General features: G+C 58.5%; 1 protein-coding gene across 20 annotated transcripts, besides 4 other annotated features; it reads right to left on the bottom strand.

Moving 5' to 3' along the window:
• Positions 1-379: 379 nt before the first annotated feature.
• On the bottom strand, positions 380-14415 carry ADAM33 (ADAM metallopeptidase domain 33). 20 transcript variants are annotated; one of them, XM_011529367.2, is made up of 22 exons: positions 14313-14415; positions 11897-11976; positions 9472-9548; positions 7432-7507; positions 7178-7254; positions 6909-7098; positions 6624-6689; positions 6469-6540; positions 6150-6316; positions 5979-6063; positions 5759-5901; positions 5126-5303; positions 4942-5031; positions 4539-4734; positions 4282-4390; positions 3986-4184; positions 3824-3901; positions 3642-3750; positions 3411-3558; positions 1951-2042; positions 1704-1775; positions 380-1405 (listed from the first exon to the last, which is right to left on the bottom strand). In XM_011529367.2, the coding sequence occupies exons 1-22, from the start codon at positions 14407-14409 to the stop codon at positions 1368-1370; spliced, it is 2439 nt and encodes an 812-aa protein (XP_011527669.1). In that variant the 5' UTR covers positions 14410-14415; the 3' UTR covers positions 380-1367. The 20 variants fall into 20 exon arrangements, 18 of the variants coding, with proteins under 18 accessions (XP_011527669.1, XP_011527668.1, NP_001269376.1 ...); XM_011529366.2 differs by having other exon boundaries at positions 7393-7507; NM_001282447.3 differs by having other exon boundaries at positions 380-1402; positions 7432-7510.
• Positions 2981-3586: an enhancer, noted in NCBI's record as "H3K4me1 hESC enhancer chr20:3651223-3651828 (GRCh37/hg19 assembly coordinates)". NCBI's record gives its function as "activates a minimal SCP1, AML or CMV promoter by ChIP-STARR-seq in primed H9 embryonic stem cells {active_cell/tissue: H9 hESC(primed)}" and the evidence as "EXISTENCE:reporter gene assay evidence [ECO:0000049][PMID:30033119]".
• Positions 9542-10144: an enhancer, noted in NCBI's record as "H3K4me1 hESC enhancer chr20:3657784-3658386 (GRCh37/hg19 assembly coordinates)". NCBI's record gives its function as "activates a minimal SCP1, AML or CMV promoter by ChIP-STARR-seq in naive H9 embryonic stem cells {active_cell/tissue: H9 hESC(naive)}" and the evidence as "EXISTENCE:reporter gene assay evidence [ECO:0000049][PMID:30033119]".
• Positions 10748-11349: an enhancer, noted in NCBI's record as "H3K4me1 hESC enhancer chr20:3658990-3659591 (GRCh37/hg19 assembly coordinates)". NCBI's record gives its function as "activates a minimal SCP1, AML or CMV promoter by ChIP-STARR-seq in naive H9 embryonic stem cells {active_cell/tissue: H9 hESC(naive)}" and the evidence as "EXISTENCE:reporter gene assay evidence [ECO:0000049][PMID:30033119]".
• Positions 13840-14733: an enhancer, noted in NCBI's record as "H3K27ac-H3K4me1 hESC enhancer chr20:3662082-3662975 (GRCh37/hg19 assembly coordinates)". NCBI's record gives its function as "activates a minimal SCP1, AML or CMV promoter by ChIP-STARR-seq in naive H9 embryonic stem cells {active_cell/tissue: H9 hESC(naive)}" and the evidence as "EXISTENCE:reporter gene assay evidence [ECO:0000049][PMID:30033119]".

Here is an 18969-nt window from a genome sequence, read left to right on the forward strand (position 1 = left end):
GGAGTGGAGCCCGAGGTGAAGTTGCCTCCCTGCACTCAGTTTTGGGATGGTTTTGTTATGCGGCAACAGCTGGCTGATATAGGCCACTCAGCAGCTCTTGCATGAAGCAATGGGAGAATGTGAACGCCCAAGGGAAGCAGGAGTGACAGAGCAAAGAGGGTGTTCAAACTAGGCAACACCGTCCTGTGCCCAGACACATGCCTGGGGCTCTGGCTGCCACCTAGGCTCGGCCTGCCAGCCACCACCCCGTCAGCCACCACCCCATCAGCCACCACCCCACCAACCACCACCCCGCCAACCACCACCCCGTGTGGTCCTCAGGGCACCCCATGGGTTGAATTTACATACAGAAAAGACTAACCAAGGTCCAAGTGTAATATGTCTTTTTAAAATTTATTTTAGAGACAGGGTCTTGCTCTGTCACCCAGGCTGGAGTGCAGTGGTGCCACCATAGCTCACTGCAGTGTTGAACTCAGGCTCAAGTGATCCTCCTGCTTCAGCCTCCTGAGCAGCTAGGCCTACAGGTACACACCACCACGCCCAGCTAATTTTAAAATTTTTCTGTAGATGCGGTGTCTTGCTGTGTTGCCCAGGCTGGTGTGGACCTGCTGGCCTCTGGTGATCCTCCTACCCCGGCTTCCCAAAGTGCTGGGATTATAGGCATGAGCCACCACGCCTATAGCCAACATGTCTTTCTTTTGACTTCTACTTTGGTATCTTTTCTTAAATGGTTCCCTCTGTCCCCCCGACACACACAGAATGGGGGAGAGGCTGTCAGATTCTGAGCTCCAGAACCTCAGGTGTAGCACTGGGATTGGGGGTGGGGGCTCAGGAACCACCTAGGGGAGAAGACAGGGTGGGAAGAAACAGGAAGGAAGGTCCCCAAAATTATGTTTGTTTGCAGAGGCCAGCCAGGCTCCAGGGGAGTGTGGACTCAGTCGAACCATAGGGCCCCAGGACCACTAGCTTCTGGCCAGCAGTCATGCCCTCCACAGAGCTGGGTCCGTGGAAATTGCATGTAGGAGACACACCAGACTCCCAGGACAGAGCCCTTTTGGGATGGCCAGCACTACCCAGCCTCCACTGGTGAGGGAGGTCAGGGGCTGTGTGACCTTTGCTTCTGGGACTGATGGTTTATTGAGCTGGAGAGTGTGCCCAGCAGTGTTCTCCAGCCCTCAGGAACTTCTAATGTGGCTCTGGGTTCCTGGAGTGGGTGGGTCGAAGCTCCACTCGGGGAAGAAACTTCCAAGCTGCCTGCAGGTGCTGGAGGTCCGGTGATTCACTGGCTCTGCCCCTGCAGTTCAAGTTCCTGGAGTGGCTGTCAGTGGCCACCTGTCTTTAAATCTGTTCATTTTAGGAGCTACCTCTCACCAGAGGCAGGATCTTGGCATCTGGACTTGATCTGCTGAGAATGAGGAGGATATGTTGTCCCCTAAGGACTGGGGCCCCAGGCTGCAAGCTGTGTGGCAGAGAGCCCATCCTCACTCAGTGAGGACCAGTGATCCAGGAAAAGCCACAGCTTCTCCCTCCCCAGCCCAGGGGCTTCCAGCATCCTGGTCTGCATGATAACCAAGAGGTCATAAACTCATTTCCATAATAACCTGAGCCCAGAAACCTGATTAGGGGGCAGCAAACTGAGGGGTGGGAGAGGTGGGAGGGTGGGCGATGAGAGGGGGAGGCTTTGAATCCAGGTCCCTGCCTACCTTGGGGGTCAGGCGAGACTGCTGGCAGAGGCTTCTCAGGGTGGCTGCTGGGCTCATGAGAGTTCTCAGGGTCTGGGAGAAATGGTGGAGGGTAAATGTTGTGAATATGGTCAGCAGGAGCCCCTGGGGCTGGGGAGGGGCATAGGGGACTCAAGGTGACTGGGTGCTGCCCATCTGGAAGGAGGCAGGAGGCATGAGCCCTTCCCTTCTCCCTTCCCTCTCCACCTCCCCCTGGTGCCTCACTCACCCAGGGGCCAGGGCTGTCCAGTGGCTGTGGGGCCCAACTCCATGGGGTGAACGCCGCCCAGGGGGTGGTCCCTGTGTGGGCCATCTTTGGGGCTGAGCAACGTGATAAGAGTCCAGGAGGTTGGCACAGTGATCCTGAGTGGGTTATTGCCTCCCCGCAGCATGGTGTCCAGCCCAGGGAGTTCTGCGTTTACTGAGTTTCTTGGGGCACCCATCTGCTCCAAGTCACCCTCTCAGCTCCCTTCCTGCTCCCTCTTCAGGGGAGCCTTGGGATCCAGGCTCCAAGTGAGCCTCATGCCCTCGGCTGGCACCTCCTCTCTCTAGTCCTAACATTTCCTCCAGGCTCTGACAGCAGCCTGGCACTCTCCAGATGCTGGCATCGCTCAGCTTCCAAAGAACCTTGGATGTCCGCCCCTTCGGCAGCTATGTCTGCTCTCCTTGCCCCTGGGTGCCCTGCTGCCCTTGATGATTCCAAGCCATCTTTGACTGTCCCCATCCCATCCCCCAAGGCCTTGTCATTTCCTGTGATGTTCCTTCAAAACATTCTCCCCTGCCCTGAGACTCCCGCCTGGGGATGAGAAGCAGCCGCCACCCTCTGCAGCGCCCCCTCCGTGCTGACACGCCAGGCTCTGGCCACCTTGCTCCTCTGCCCACAGACCCTCAATCACAACTCGCTTTGTCAGGGTCCTCTTAGCTGCCACCCGGGGCCCAGGTGGTGCCCTGCCCCTGTCTGTTATGCCCTCTGCCCCCATCTCTGGCCCAAATCATGCCATCTCCCTTGGCTTGCCCGGAGCACTCCCAAGACCAGGCTATGTCAGACATGGCCACAGAGTGCCTGCCCTGCCTAGGGCCCTGGTGCAGGGTGAGTCCTAGGACAGCCATGCTTAGTATTATGTGACTCCCCACTCCGCCACCACCCAGGTCACAGAGAACTGGGTTAAGGCAGGGCCCTGGCACAGGGGCAGCCAGCACCGCAGCTGACCAGTGGTATGGAGTGAAAAGATGTGCTGGGCCCAGCATTTGGGAACTTCAAGGGGGTGACAGAGGTGATTTGTGCAGAGGAAGTGGCAAAGGGCCGAAAACTGGTGAGACAGAGGCTGGACAGGCCTCCGGGGGCAGCATGGTACAGGGACTGCAATCTGAGCCAGGGAAAAACAGGGCGAAGTCAAGGGTGAGGCAGCCAGCTGGTGGGAGAAGCAGGAGAGTGGACAAGAGGAGCTGTACTGGGAGGTAGAGGGCCATGCCTTGCGGTGCTGGTGGTGGGGCAGGGATCCACCCCCTCGCTTGACTGGGAGGCCACTGGAACCTCCTGTTCAAAGCTACTTCTTTCCATGGCCTCTGGGGCTGCTCTCTGCACCTGGGGGCAAGGCTGAGGGCCTGCCCCAGCTCCCACAGCCCCAGCAGAGCTCTGAGGAGGGGAACCGCAGGAGTAGGCTCAGGAAGCAGGCGCTCGGAGCCTACCCACTGCACGCAGGGTCCCTTCTGCAGCCCCAGCTGCATCGCTGCAGATGGGCTCCTGGGAGTCGGTAGCAACACCAGGCCAGGCCGGCCCCTGGGAGCAGAGGCAGCAGGACGCTGAGGAGCATGGCCAGCAGGAAGGTGTCATGGTCTGCGGGGATTGGGGGAAGGGGCGCTGAGTCCTGAGCAGGTGCACCACCCCAGCTCCTGCCCACATGCCCCCCACTGGCATACTTTCAGCCTGCACAGGGCCACTGTCCATGCTGCCACCAAAGCCTGGCTTGTCACAGAAGGGTGGAGCCCAGCCTGGAGCACAGTGGCAGTTATGGTTGCTATTGCAAACCTGCAGAGAAGAGAAGAGGAGGGTCACGTAGGATTAGGAACCCCAAGGTCACCCCCACTCCTCGGGCTCTCACCCCGTGGCTGTGGCAGGCAGTCAGGCAGCGCTGAAGCTCCTGGAAGGCATTCTTCCTGCAGCGCCTGCTCTGGCACACCTACGGGCAGTGCACCAGGCAGTGAGGGGGACACTGGCCTGCGGGATTCAAACGGCAAGGAGGGGTCGGGTGGGCAGAGCTCACCATTCTAGGTCCACACTGGGTGCCTGGCTCTACCAGGCCCAGGCCAAGCAGGTCCAGCTGGGCACTGGGGAGTGCCAAGGCTCCCCGACAAGTCACTTCCTGGCCATCTAGGTGAACGGTAGAGTCCACTGGCACCATGTGCGGTGCGAGCAGGCTGGGCTTTCCACCCTGGCACTGCAGCTTCCCACACAGGGCATCCCTGGGGAGGAAGTAGAGGGGGGTCAACAGCTGCAGTACCCCCCTTCCCCAAACCCACTCCATAGCTTCTGCTCCCTCCACTCAGCTCCACTCCCTACCTCCCTGCACAGGGCAGGAAGTGGCCCTCGCTGTCCTGGCCGCAGTTTCCATGAGCATCTCCCGCAGAGTTCACCACCTGGAAACAGGCCTCGGGAGCTGGGTGGGAGCCTGAGGAAGCATGGGCCAGGCTGGGGGCAGCTCGGAGAGGGGCTGCGCTCAGCGGGCCTCAGTTTCCCCTGCCCATCTTCCCCACAGTAGAAAACTGGCCCCACCAGAGGATGGGGGGCAGGGTGCAAGGGTGCTCGTGTCCTCTCACCAGGCCCCCAGAGCTGCTGGCACTGCTGCTCCAGCGTGGGACATGCGCCATCCCAGCAGTAGCCACTGCCCCTGGCACAGGGTGAGCCGTCCAGTAGGTAAACGTCTGGGGGACAGTGGGAGGAGGTGCCCGTGCAAAACTCAGGGAGGTCACAGTCACCCATGGCCTGGCGGCACAGCGCTCCAGCCGGCTTCAGCTGCGCAGGTGACGGGTGGTGGGGAAGGCAGAGAGAGGCCACGTGCAGTGAGAGGTCCATGCCGAGAGCGCGGCTCGGAGCTGGGGGAGCCAGGCCTACCCAAGCCCAGCACCCAACGGGGGAACCTGAGGGCACCAATTAACTAAGGCCAACAGGCCGGCTCCCAAGCTCCCCGAAACCCTCACCCTGAACCTTCCATGCCCTCACCAGGCAGCGCACGCAGCAGTCCCCGTGGGCGCACTGGGCCCCCGGGCGCAGCGAGCAGTTGTGAGCAAAGCAGCAGAGGTCGCGGCACTCCTGGGACCAGAAAGGCAAGAAGGGCCCAGGTGAGGGCGCAGCGCCCCAGACCTGAGCGGAGAGGGCAAGTGGGGGCCGGGCGAGCCGACTTAACCTGGCCAGGGCCGCAGTCACACTCCTCGCCCGCTTCCACGAAGCCGTTCCCGCAGAGCGCCGGCGGCACCGGGAGTCCGGGGTCCGGGGCATTGGAGAGGCAAGCGCCGCCCCCCTTGCGGAAGAAGGCGCGCAGCTGGCGGCGGCTGCAGGCGCTGAACACGCGCGGAAACGGGTGCCTACCGGCACGGGGAGGGCATTGGGCATGGAGGGACAGTCCCCCAACCCCCGCGCTTCTCTGATCCCCACCCCTGGGCTTGGCTACAGCCGCCAGACGCGCAGAGCCCAGAGAGGGGAAGTAACCCGCGCAAAGTCACACAACAAGCGGGACAGGGGACGATGCGGCCCCAATAGTGAGCAGCCCGGGACCCAAGGTGGAATCGCGACCCGACGGTGCTCCTCCCGGTGTAGGAGTAACCTCGCCAGGTTACTCGGAAAATAATCTTCATACCGTTGAGAATCCACTTTGCCTGAGCTTCTTCCCTTTAAGCCTCATAAACCACCCTGAAGCGGACACTATGATCATTATCCCCATTTTACAGAAGAGGAAACTGAGGGACGACCAAAGAAACGCAGCGGAGGAAGTCCCCAGGACTAGCCGCCCCGCCGCAGCCCCGACCCCCCACCCGCGTACCCGGTGGCCGCAGCCATGACGCAGCCTCCGGACTCGGCCGCAGCCTCCACGCAGCAGCCGTCGGGGTCGTGGCTGAGGCCGAGGCTGTGGCCGATCTCATGGGCCATGGTGGCTGCGGCGCCGATGGGGAGCTCCGAGTGGTCCTGGGGGGCCGTGGGAGGGCGGTCACTGCGGCCGTAGAGCCTCCTGTCTCTCCCTCGCCCCCGCCCGCGGGGCTCACCGTGCTCACGCCTCCCGAGCTCTCGGCGCGGCACATGCCCTCGACGGGCGCCAGGCCCACTGTGGCGCCCTGGAAGGCGCGGCCCCTGGGGGCGGAGCGCGGCGTGACCAGGCGGGGCCGGGAGGTGAGGCCGCCCCACCCGGGACCCGCGTCCGGGTCAGAGGCACCCACGTGAGCAGCTGCGCGGAGTCGTGGGGCCGCTGCGCCCACAGCCCCCGGCGCCACTGCAGGAAGGCCCAGAGCGTGGCGTTGGCGTCCTGCGTGACGCGGCTGCGGTCCCGCTCGGTCCACACCTCCAGGCCGGTCAGCGCCACCTGAATGTCCAGAGTCCTGAGAAGCTGAGGGCGAGGCGGGGCTGAAGCCGGGACAGGGCGCCCCATCGCGCCGGTGGTCCTTCGTGGGGCGCCCTTCCTCTTCCCCAAACCCCACCAGCACCTGCCTGTCCTGCCGCCGCCACCCCCATCACCGCTCTCTCCCCGCCGCCCCCAACCTGGTCCACGTAGTTGGCGACTTCCAGGAGACGCTGTTTGGTGTGGTTCAAGTTTCGGTGCCGAGTCAAGAACTGGGAAGGCAGAAATCCCGGTGGCTTGAGGGGCTGAGCTGGCCCCATCCCTGACCCCGCCAACCCCTGGGGTCTCTCCTCACCAGGGTGTGGTCTGCCACAATGTACAGTTCCAGGTACTTCCGGGTCCTGCGCGCTTCTCGCCTGCCCTGCGGAGGTGCAAATGGGGACCCTGAGTGGAAGCTGCTGGGCTTGAGCCCTGACCACCAATCCCAGCTCCCAGAAGGAAGTTTAACATGTTTTCTGGAACTTGTTTCTTCAGACTTCAATAAAAATACTGGGACTCGAGGCCTGTGAATTCCCGTCTCTTCTGATTTGGAGGGCTATAGATACAGCATTCCCACTCCCATCCGATCGATGCCCCTGACCCTGCTCTGGGGACCACCAGGAAGGCTGGTCATGCCCGCTTTGTTCCCAGGATCCCTGTGGCCACAGGTTCCTTTCCAGGTGAGCAGCTGCTCCATCCGAAAGATCTCGTGGGTTGAGAAGTCCTTGGAGCCCCGGGGTGGCCAGGGACGCAGATAATAGCTGGCATTCCTGCTGAGGGTGATCAGGCCACTAGGGTGCAGAGGGGTAGGAGCGGGTGTGAGGGAGCTCTTTCCCCATCCCAGGCCCAGCCTCCTCTCCCAGAGCTCACCTCATCCCAGAGCAGGTGCAGAGGACTACCCAGGAGTCGGGGAAGCCCCTTACTCGCCCTTGGTAGTGGCAATGATCCTAGGGAGGAAGGGGCCAGCCCCAAATCTCAGCCAGGGCTGGAGCAAGAGGGGCAAGAGGGAGGGTGTGGTAGGGGCTGGCTCCAACCGCCCCTTAGGAATGCAAGGAGGAGTAGGGGTAGGAATGGTGGGGGGGTACCTCTGGCGGTGCATCCCAGAGCCCATGGAAGCATCTCACCGTGTGGTTGGGGGCCAGCACCACTGGCTGCCCATCTGGGCCGTAGTGGGTTTCTATGTATCCTGGGGCCAGCAGCCTGCTGAGAGGGGGTGTTACAGGGAACACTGAATTCAGCTTCCTCCTGCCTCCTCCAGGATGTCTCCCAGCCTTCCTCCCTAAATGCTAATGGAGCAGCTTTATGAGTGAGACACTCACAGTGTGTCTTAGGGAAGGGACAGGAGCAATGGTGACTTGCTCAGATCAGAAACTCTTGGGGCTAGAGGAAGGAGCCTTGGTGATGGCTTAGTTGTGGGAGGTGTGAATATGGGAAGCACCAGGGAGGACGCCGGGGAGGAGTGGGAATAGGGGAAGAGTTTGTGGTTCCCAGGGGACCTGCAGCAGGCAGCAGGATCCACAGGATCGGGAGGGGAGGAGTCAGGAGACACTGCCGAAGAATGGGACTTGGAGTTGGGGAAATGCGGTGACCTCCCCCAGTTCCCCTGCCTGCTGCCCTCCTTTGTTGGGCATCTGGTCGACCCTCTTGCCCCCACCTGCCCTAGATCCTTGAAATATTTTCCTCAGACTTCTAGACCCCACATACCTCCCACCTGTCCTTCAGTGATTGATGCTCACCCCCTGCCTCCAGAGAAAACAGAATCGCCACCTGCCCACGCTGCTTCCACCCTCCCTGCCTTCTCCACACCCACTCCGGTAATGATTCCATCTTCAGGCTCCATCTCAACAGGATCTTTCCCACACGGATGGATCAATCATAAGTCAATCTGTCTTCTTTAAAGAAAATCCTTAACCCAACCTCACCTTGGCCTCATTACCTCCAGACCACCCGCTAATGATGGCTGCTTCCCCCCTCCCAGGCATTCCACCACCTGCCCCAGCTCTGCCCCCTACCCCTGCCCCACACACACCCGCCACCCTAGGAGGTAGGTGATGTGACCACCCCATTGAAAGGGTAGGGACGTCGGGAAAATATGGTTGGGCACAGTGGAACTAGAGTTTGTTCCCTGTCCATCCGACTCCACGAGGGAGAATAAAATACGTGTCAAGTGCTCAGAACAGCGCCTGCGGTCAAGCACTCAGTAGGTGATATATACTGATAACATAATCTGGGTGGTTTTAAGAGCCTGCGCTCCAGCCCGGACACCCACCCCACCCAGCCCAAGGCACCTTCCTGAGCACAGGTCTGCCTGTCCCTTCCCCAGCTCAAAATCTTTGGCTCTGGATGGTCCAGGACACTGAGCACCAAAATGGCCTTCTGTGATCTGGCCCTCCTGGGACTCTCCAAATTCATTCCCCCCTGCTCCCCTCCCTGTAGATGGAGACCTTCCAGGCAGGTCAGACAAACTGCTGCCCCCAAGTGTAGCCACTGCATCTTTTTCTTTTTTCTTTTCTTTCTTTTTTTTTTTCTTTTTCTTTTTTTTCTCTTTTTTTGAGACGGAGTCTCACTCTTTGCCCAGGCCGGAGTGGTGCAGTGGTGTGATCTTGGCTCACCACAACCTCTACCTCCGGGGTTCAAGCGATTCTCCCGTCTCAGCCCCCTAAGTAGCTGGGATTACAGGCGCCGCCACCACGCCTGGCTAATTTTTTGTATTTTTAGTAGAGACGGGGTTTCACCATGTTGGCAAGGCTGGTCTCAAACTCCTGACCTCAGGTGAGCCGCCCGCCTCGGCCTCCCAAAGCCACCGCATCTTGGTCCCTGCCATTCCCTTAGCCTGGGGTGCCGGCTCATCTTTTCCCTCTAGGATTTCTTTAGACTCAGCATATCTTGCAAATGTCCACTAGGTGGTGCTCACTCATCGCCAGCAGGGAGCTAACAAGCCGCTCCTGGGGTTGGGAGGGCGGAGGTGCCCCACAGCGGGGCTGACAGCCTCAGCGGTCCTCTTCAGCCTCCAGGGAGCCAACCACAGGCCTGCGTGACTCTCCCTGTCATCTGCACCCTCTCTGGGGTCCTCTGCCCATCCAGCCACCCGCACAGATCTGTGTCAGTCCCTGCCCCCCAACACTGATCCCCTCCTCCCAGCCCTACCCCAGCCTGGCACTCACTGGTTCTTCTCCAGCTCAAGCAGGAGCTCCTGGCCTTCAGCCTCCAGGGCCACCAGCCCCATGTCTGGCTTCGAGACCTGGGCAAGAAAATGTGTGGAGCTGAGATGGTGGCCTCCAGGCCTCCTGCCTGCCAGGGAGTAGGTGGCCTGTGGAGCCGGCTGGGGAGGAAGTTCTTGGGGAGAACGTGGGCTGGGGAGTCAGCAGGACCCCCCACATACTATGGAGGGCGTGGAGGAGGTGAGAACATACAAAGATGTTCCCAAACTCAGGATGTTTGCAGTCCTGACAACAGCCACTTGGAAGGGCGTTGGCACAGCCTGCCAGGCACACCAGCATCCTCCCTAGAGACCAGAGGTCCCAGAAAGGTGCCCCTCCCCTGGCCCGCCCTCTTCTTTCATGCCCAGAAGGGGCATCAAAAGCAGGGGAAGACAGAGGGGTGCTGAGGACATTATGGGGGCATCGGGTAGCCATGGTCAGGGCCTCCTCAGAGCCTCTGCTACCTGAGGCTTGTTTCCAAATGAGCTGCTGCTCATTCCCTATAGAATTCAAATTTGACTCCTCCACTTCCAATTTTGGCAAACTGCTCCCTCTTCCAAAGTTTTCCTGGGCCTCCAGCAGCCCCCGTCCCTCCGGCTCCGACACCTGCTTCACTGGACCCACGAAGTAAACATGGACGCCATTCCAGCCAAGAGAGCACACTGGCTCTCAGCTAGGTGTCAGGAGGCTGGCTTGGACGGCCAGCCCTCTCTCCTTCCCCCACCCTCTTGGCGTCTCCCACCCTGTGGGAACACCCCACTTCCCCCTTGTCCACTCAGCCTGGCTGGGGGCCCAGAGTTGGAGCCGGCCCAGGAGCTTCCTGGGAGGCTGCTGCGCCTTCGGAATGTTTAACCCCCGACTCCTTTTCTCCAAAAATGCACTGGCCTGGGGCCCTGTCCAAGGGTCTCAGAGTCTTTGGAGGGAGTTCTTCCTTCGCAAGTGGGGAGCAGATGGTCCTTGCCTCCCTGGCCACAGGCCCCACAAGGCCTCCAGCATGAGCTCATGAGGCTGGAATGCCACTTGCTTTATTGGGGAAAGGTCTGCACCGGGAAAAAGGCCATACTCGAGGTCCCTGTTCCTCTGCAGCCCCTGCTATCTTTACTCTTGCCCTCCTGGTACCCTGCCCCTTGATATATACCCCTCATCTTGAAATGTGAGTGTTTCCTGCCTTTTGGAGGGGACACCTAGCCTCTACTCTTTCTTCTGTACCATCTTGGCAGGCTTCCTGGGGGCAGGGGCCCACCGGTGGGGGAAGCAGAGCCCCTTTGGGGCTCTCCTCTTGGTCACAGCCCAGGCCAGACAGACAGGGAGGCCCAGAGGCAGAGTGACCCCAGTGTGTGTCCAGCCTTCCCCTCCTGGGGATGGGGAGGGCAATCTCAAAGCTCAGGCCAGTGCCGTGCTTGACCAGTGGAATGGGGGCCTTATGGGCCTAGGGGATCCCAGTGAGGGCCCTGGGTTGGGAGCTGCTGGGTCTCTGGGGGCCTCTCAGCCTTCATGGCAATGCTCCCCTGCCTTCCCTCTTGCTGGATTTGGACAGTAGGGCTGAAAATTCCAAACAAAGAGGGCTCTCTAGGAGGGGCAGGGGTGTAGCCAATGGTTTAAAATCGTTCAGACCTTAGTGGGTCTCAGGCTCCCAGCCTAAAGAGCTGTGTGACCATGGACAATTTCCCCAAGCTCTCTGGGCTTCCGTTTGCCCCTCTGTAAAATGAGCATATCAAGGCTACTGCCCTCTTAGTTTGCAGCACAGATATTATGGCACAAACAGATGGGGCATGGTTATTCTGGAAGCGTGTGAAGAGCGGGATTGGGAAGAGGCTGGGGCAGAGCGTCCTGCAGAAGAAGCACATGGGGTGGTCTTACATCTGGGGGACATCAGGAGAGTGACCACTGCCCCCCCGATACCAGAAGTGGATTCCACAGGAGCCAGTGAGGCTGAAGGTTCAGGCCTTCGTGGCAGGGCCCTGAGAGGGACAGCAGTGTGTCCACAGGGTCACATGTTCTGGTCAACTTTGCAAAAGGTTTTCTTTTTGGTGCTTTTTTTTTTTTTTTTTTAGAGGCTCCTGAAAAGCTTCAGGACCCACAAACTCTGGACCCATTTCTGCCTGGTGGGGGTGGGGGTGGCCCAGATCATCCAGGGAGGGAGGGAAAGAGGGAGGTGGGGTGGAGAAAGCTGAAATGACTTCCATGTGTGCGGGCTCACGAGATCCAGATGTCCAAACCCCAGTGCCTTCTTCTGCCCACTTGAGGGGCAGGGGAGGCAGGGGCCTATAGGAGTAGTGACTTGGTGGTTCTGGGGACCCCAGCAAAACTAGAAGCTGTAATGTAGGGAGAGACAAAAGGGCTGGGAGGTTCAGGGCCCCTGTGGAGGGCGGGGAGACATGGCACTGACCGGCTCCTCCAGGCTGACGGTGCGCCAGGGTTGTCCATCCAGGACCCAGTGCGGGGTGACTGGCTGCCCAGGGATATGTCCTGGAGTAAAGACAGAGCACAGGGTGAGGGGGACCTGAGGAACACAGGGGCATGGGACAAAGCAGAGGGAGGGGGGTAGAGGACATCCCCAGGGAGGCACTGGAGGCCTTTTGGGGCAGACTTCACCTTCAACACGCGTGGGCTCAGCCTGGAGAAGGAGGGACGCCCGTGGGCATCCTTGGATCTGAGGAGCTATCAAGGAGGAGGAAAAGAGAAGGCTGGAAAGGGACAGCTCAGCTGGGGACACGGGAGTCCCCTGACCTTTGTCGGGGGGCAGGCTTGGGCTCGGCGATCACAAGGAAGAGGCCAAGGCCGCCAGTGCAGAGGGGAAGGAAAGAGCGCGGCAGCCTTAGGGATTTTTAGATGGGCAGCAGATGCCTTTAGGGTGAGAGATGTACGAAGAGAGGACACTTGTGCCCCCCCCATCATCTGAGAAAAACAACAGCCAGATGTTGCCTTGCGAGGTCCACCTTGCCCAGAGCTCCCTCGGGGACTCTGTCCTGGTGGCAGGGTTTTGGTACCCTGGCCCAGAAGGCCCCTCCTCATCTCTTCAAGGGGAGGGGACGCTTCTGGACGGAGCCTTGGTGCTCCCTGGCCGGGTGTGCCTAAGGGGGCTCTAGGAGGAATCCCAGAGCCAAGCATTACTCAGAGGGCGCCTGGAATGTTCCCCTGGAATGCTCCCAGCCCTCCACTGGCCCCAACCACTCTCACAGGCCCGCCCTGCAGGAGCCAGGCCCCAGGCACCCAGAGCCTGCAGCAGCCCTCCTTCCCCCGGTACCCAGTCCCAGCTCCCAGAACAGACAGCCTCCCCCCTCCACGCAGCCCTGGCCTCAGTCCTGCTGGGCTGATGGCTGCCTGTGGAAGTGACTCAGCTCCTGCTAGGCCACCCCAACTCCTTTTTTCTCCTCCACCTTCTCTCCCAGACTACAAACATCAAAGACCCTTCCTCCAAGAAGCCCTCCTTGATTGGATGAGTGAATTGCCATCAGGCAGATGAGGGCCGAGAGGAGTCTGCCACCTTGGAAAGGAGGCTAGAGGGGCCAGTGCAGGGAGGGCTCTGAGTGGATGTGGGGGAGGGGAAGGAGGGGAGGTCTCTCAGCCCAGAGAGCACTTAACTGAGAGTAGAGAACCAAGCTTTGCTGCTCCTAGGCCTCTAAGGGTTTGGGGAAGAGGTAGGGTGGGCCCGGGCACAGGTGTGGTGTGGGTGCAGTGTGGTGTGTGGGTGCTGTCCACATGGCCTTGCGCGCACGTGCTGGCCACGGGCACCCTGACCCCAATGAGGGAGAGAGGGGCAGAGCTGGAGCTGGAGCTGGAGCTCCGGTGACCGGGTGAATGGGGGTGGAACCCGAGGGAGCCAGGCTGGTATTGGGCACATAGACGCCCCTCTCCCAGGGGTCCCATCACCTCCCCTGACCCCAGGATAGGGCTCAGAGGGGAGGGAGCAGTGGACCGCCTGGGGCCCTCCCCTGGGGCCAGAACAGACCAGGCCCCTGTACCTGTTTGGTCCCCACACAGTGCTGTGGAAGCCACCGCCCAGTCTGCATAGCACAGCCCAGCCCCGCATGCCCCCTCCCTGGTTGCCCTCCCTGTTCCCGGCCAGGCACTTGCTGTGCAGGACTGGCTAATCCTCCCACCCGCTTGCAGAGGTTGTTCCAGCCCCATCTTAACATCTTTGTTTGGAGGGGTTACCCCGAGGAGACAGCTGCAGTCTTCCCAGAGCACTGCTAAACAGACACCTTCTATCTGGAGAGGCCCTTCTCTATCTCACCAAACAAGGCAACAATATAAACAACATACACACTGCCCTGCTGCCCTGGGAGGAGGGACGAGGGGTGAGCAGGGTGGAGGCCACAGCTAGTTCTGCAGCCTGAGAGCAAAGCAGGGACTCTGGGGGACTCTTGGGCATGGGGGCTTCCTAGAGGACGGAGCCCCGCTGAGTCCTAAGGGGTGGAGGAGCAGGAGCGGGTCACACGGTGGCCTGCGGATGGAAGCTGGTTGTGAGAGCGAGAATCCAGGAAGAGGGGGCTACGGCTATGGGCTGGGGGCTGGGCTGCCCCCGAGGGGGAGGGAGCCATGCCCTCTGCTTTGCCAGCGGAGTGGCAGCCGGGCAGTGTGGGCAAGTCCGGGCCCGGGGCCAGCCCAAGCACACTTGAGCGTCCCTGGGCAGGTCCCACGGAGACCCCCCCAAAGAGTCCCCACGCCCTGACCTACTGGCCGTATGGTGCCGGGGCCGTGAGACCCTCCGCGCGCTGACCCGAGCTCTGAGCAGAACCCATCCCCGCCACCACCACCGCGCCTAGCCTGCCCCTCAGGGCGCACCCCGCCCGCGTCCTCACCTTGAAGCACCCCGGCGCCTGGCACTGGCCAGAGCAGCAGCAGTAGTAGCAGCAGCAGCAACGGGGTCCCCCGAGCTCTCCGGGGCCTCCAGCCCATAGCTGTGAGCTCCTCGGCCTCTAGGCAGCGGCTCGCAACTCCGGCTCCGCCCAGGCTGGATTGCGGCCGACCCGTGCCCGGTGCAGCCTCAGGCCGCCGCCTTCGGACCTTCCCGCCCCCACCTCCCACCGCCCGCCCTCGCTCCCGCCTCCCCTCCCCGCCAACCCCGCTCGGAGCCTGGCCAGGGGCCCCGACGGCGCGCGCCATGGGGGAGCCGGGTCGCCACTCCCGGACCGCCGCCCCTCGAGGGGGTGGAGCTGGGCGGAGGAGGGAATCCGTGCGGCCCCTCGGATGACCGGCCCGAGCCGTCCCTCCCCGTCGGTCTCAGAGGGCCTCTACTCCTGAGAGGAGGAGAGAACCGCTGGGAAGGTTCTTGGAGGACCGCGGCGTGGTGGGATGAGGCGGTGGGCAAAGGCCGCCTCTCGCTGCTGAAGTTGGCCCCAGGAGCGCGATCTTCCGTGGTCTCCTGGGGCCGATCTCTGTCCCCTCCTTGCTACCCGTCCTGCCCCGAGGGTGCCCTGGCGGAGGTTGAGTCGGGTCATCCACCTGCACTGGGTGCCCCCAAGGATAGGAAGGTTCAGGCAACCGGCTGCCGCTGTCTTGGGGGCTTCATTGCTGGGCAAAGGCGATGCAGCAGACGGAGACAACCTTTCTTCCCTGGCGGTGGCCAGAGGGCAGAATTGCATAAAAGCTGCAGACTCCCAGGCCTGGGAGACCCTTTCGGCCTCAGTAACATCTGTTTCATGTTTTAAACTTTTGTTTTCCTACTCGGTGCAAATTTGGATGAGATGTTAACTTTTTTTTTTTTTTTTTTTTTGAGATGGAGTCTCCCTCTGTCGCCAGGCTGGAGTGCAGCGGCGCGATCTTGGCTCACTGCAACCTCCGACTCCCTGGTTCAAGCGATTCTCCTGCCTCAGCCTCCCGAGTAGCTGGGACTACAGGCGCGCGCTACCACCCCCAGCTAACTTTTGTATTTTTAGCAGAGACGAGGTTTCACCATTTTGGCCAGGATGGTCTCAATCTCCTGATCTCGTGATCCACCCGCCTCGGCCTCTCAAAGCGCTGGGATTACAGGCATGAGCCACCGCGCCCGGCCGGAGATGTTAACTTTTAAGCAAATCTTTTTTTTTTTTTTTTTTTTTTGAGACAGAGTTTCTCTCTTGTTACCCAGACTGGAGTGCAATGGCATGATCTGGGCTCACTGCAACCTCTGCCTCCCAGATTCAAGTGATTCTTCTGCCTCAGCCTCCCGAGTAGCTGGGATTACAGGCATTCGCCACCACGCCTGGCTAATTTTGTATTTTTAGTAGAGATGGGGTTTCTCCATGTTGGTCAGGCTGGTCTCGAACTCCCGACCTCAGGTGATCTGCCCGCCTCGGCCTCCCAAAGCGCTGGAATTACAGGCGTGAGACACCGCACCCAGCCTACTTTTAAGTAAATCTATTTGTTTTTGAGAATTTGGAATGTAGTAATTTGGTTAGTGAAAGTTCGAGCAGTGAGAGAAACCTACATTCACATATCTCAAAATCAAAAAGTACAGAAAGCATAGGGAAAAGTCTCCGTGCTCTTAGCCCTCCTCACCAACAGGAAACCAATATGATTAGTTTCTTTCATAGGCTTTTAGATTATTTTTTCACACTCAAGACAATACAGACATATTTTTTTCTCTTATTAACGTTTTTCTGCACTTTGATTTTCTTTTTTTTTTTTTTGGTCGCTTAATACACCTTAGATATCAGTGCGTTTAGAGGGTCCTTGTTGTTCTTATGATTATTATTTAGAGACAGGGTCTCACTCTGTCACCCACGCTAGAGGACAGTGGCCTGATCATGCCTCATTGCAGCCTTGAAATCCTGGGCTCAAGGTATCCTCCCACCTCAGCCTCCTGAGTAGCTGGAACTACAGGCACACGGCACCAGGCCCAGCTAAAATTTTTAATTTTTCTGTAGACAGGGGGGTCTCACTTTGTTTCCCAGGCTGGTCTCAAACTCCTGGTCTTGGCCAGGCGCAGTGTCTCATGCCTGTAATCCCAGCACTTTGGGAGGCCGAGGCGGGCAGATCACTGGAGGTCAGGAGTTCAAGACCAGTCTGGCCAACATGGTGAAACCCCATCTCTACTAAAAATACAAAAATTAGCCGGGCATGGTGGTGAGTGCCTGTAGTTCCAGCTACTTGGGAGGCTGAGGCAGGAAAATCGCTTGAACTCAGAAGGTGGAGGTTGCAGCGAGCCGAGATCATGCCATTGCACTCCAGCCTGGGCAACAAGAGCGAAACTCCGTCTCAAAAAATAAAAATAAAAATAAAAAGAACTCCTGATCTTAAGTGATCCTCCTGCCTCAGCTTCTCAAATCGCTGGAATTACAGGAGTGAGTCACCACAGCTGTCCAGCTACGAGATTATTACTTATTATTACTACTTTGGATTTTCAAATCAACTTCATTAAGGTATAATTTACACACAATAAAATGCACTTATTTTAAGTGGCCAGTAAGATGAGTTTCGATAAGTGTATATAACTACATAAGCATCACTATAATGCAGACACATTCCCTCACTCACAGAAAGAGCCCTGTGCCCTTCCAGCCAAACTTGCCCACTCCCAACCCCAGACAGCCACTGATCTGTTGTTCTCTGTCTATAGATAAGTTTTGCCTGTTCTAGAATTTCATATAAATGGAATCATGCGGCATGCACTCTTCTGTGTCTGGCTTCCTTCCCTCTTTCCGATGTTTTTGAGATTCATTTACACTATTTTGCATATCAATAGTTTGTTCCTTCGTATTGCTGAATAGTGTTCGGTGGTTTGAGGGAACCACAGTTTCTCTACTCACCAGTGCACCATAGGGTTATTTTCCAGTTAGGGGCTCTTATAATTGGAACTATATTTGCACAGAGAGAGAGAGAGGAAGAAAGAGGGAGAGAGATATTTATTATAGCAATTGGCTCACGTGATTATGGAGGCCAAAAAGTTCCCGAATCTGCCATCTGCAAGCTGGAGAACGAGGAAAGCCAGTGGTGTGATTCAGTTTGAGTTCAAAGGCCTGAGAACCAGGAGCACCAGTATGGAGGTGGCTCGAGCTCAGAACAAGTTGGGGACAGGAAAGCAGAGCAGCGCCCCAGAGCAGCCCCTCAGCGACACCTCTTCAGTAAAGCAAGGCTGAACACAGAGGGGCTGGCTTCAGTGTGGATGTCAGGTACAGAAGGCAGCTCGAGGAGCTACTCTGGCGTTCTTGCTTACTGGTATTCTTACCTCGAACTGGCCAACTCCTACTTAAACTGCAGGCCATGGCTTTAATGTCCTGTCATTCAGAGGCTGTCCCTTACCCAAAGCCAGGTTAGCATCCCCTGACTGACACTTCTCCCTGCAACACGTTTCAGAAGGCCCTGTAGTCGTCCACTTCCCTGTCTCTCTCCCCAAGCTCCTGAGCTCCATGTGGTCTGGGAATATGTGTGTTGCTCACTTCCTAGCACAGTCAGTGCTAATAACTGACTGTAGAGGGGACACAGTCGAAAAGCCACATGGGGATCAGAGTCATCCTTACACAGTTGACACCTCCCAAACCCAGATGAGCTGTGTCCAAGTGCAGGTCAGAGGAATTTTCTGCCGAAGTCTCTGAGAAAGGGTTTATTTACATTTTGAGGTTGCAGGGGAGGAGATGAGGCCATCAAACCAAAGCTGAGGAAGAGGGATCCTAGGATGCACCGAGCAGCTCCGGGGGCGCCTGACAGCACCTGGGAAAGATGGCTTCTCCACTGGCTTGTTGGCGTCACCCTCCAGAGGGGCATCAGGAAATGTCCTGGGAACCAGGCAAACCAGTGAGCATTAACCCTTAGGAGTGCTTGGCATGGGTGACACCCACCATCTGTAAACACGACTTCTCCCAAGGAGTGACGCAGAACAGGATGTCTGAGGGAGGCACTCCGACTCCAGCCTTCAGAGATCGCCAGGGTGGCACCTGGTGACGACAGGCTGATGCTTGGGTGCCCCGGAAAAAGTCATGTGTGTGAATGGGGGCCCCAAAGCCAACGCTTCATCCCTGACAGCCTGGTGCATTTAGAGGGGAACTTTTTGTCCCTTGGCAAGGTGGGTGGAATTTCAGGTTCATAGGGCAAGGGTATTTTAGCTTTAATAGATATTGTCAAACAGTTTTCCAAAGTCATTGTACACACTCTGTGATTCTACTTAAGTAAAGTTTAAAAACAGGCAAATCAAATCTATGGTGTTCGAAGTCAAGACAGTAGTTACCCTTGTGGGGGCTGCAACTGGTACAGAGTGTAAGGGGGGACTGTAGGATGGTCTATTTCTTGATCTGGGTGTGTTCGCTTTTGGAAAAGTCCTTGAGTTGCATTTATAATGTGTGAACTTTTCTGTATGTTACACTTTAATTGAATGTACAAAAAGTCTCAGGAGGCCTCAGACCACTGGAAGCGGACACAACTAACCCCTCTGAGAGCCTCCAATCCAAGATGGACATATGTCCCCTTGGAAGTATGCAGAAGCAGGTGAAGACTCCTAAGCCGGATATTCCCAAATCCCCCCAGTAGCTGCAGCTTCAGCAG

This window comes from Homo sapiens, chromosome 20, assembly GCF_000001405.40.
Source record: "Homo sapiens chromosome 20, GRCh38.p14 Primary Assembly".
Classification (NCBI taxonomy): Eukaryota; Metazoa; Chordata; class Mammalia; order Primates; family Hominidae; genus Homo; species Homo sapiens.

What these genes read in the sequence shown, in the direction of transcription:
- ADAM33 (XM_005260843.2), bottom strand. Translation starts at nt 14,409, where the DNA reads ATGGGCTGGAGGCCCCGGAGAGCTCGGGGGACCCCGTTGCTGCTGCTG. An exon ending in GTGACTGCGGCCCTGGCCAG is followed by an intron (nt 5,032 to 5,125) that starts GTTAAGTCGGCT and finishes TTCTGGTCCCAG; the next exon opens with GAGTGCCGCGACCTCTGCTG. An exon ending in CCAGCAGCTCTGGGGGCCTG is followed by an intron (nt 4,391 to 4,538) that starts GTGAGAGGACAC and finishes ATGCTTCCTCAG; the next exon opens with GCTCCCACCCAGCTCCCGAG.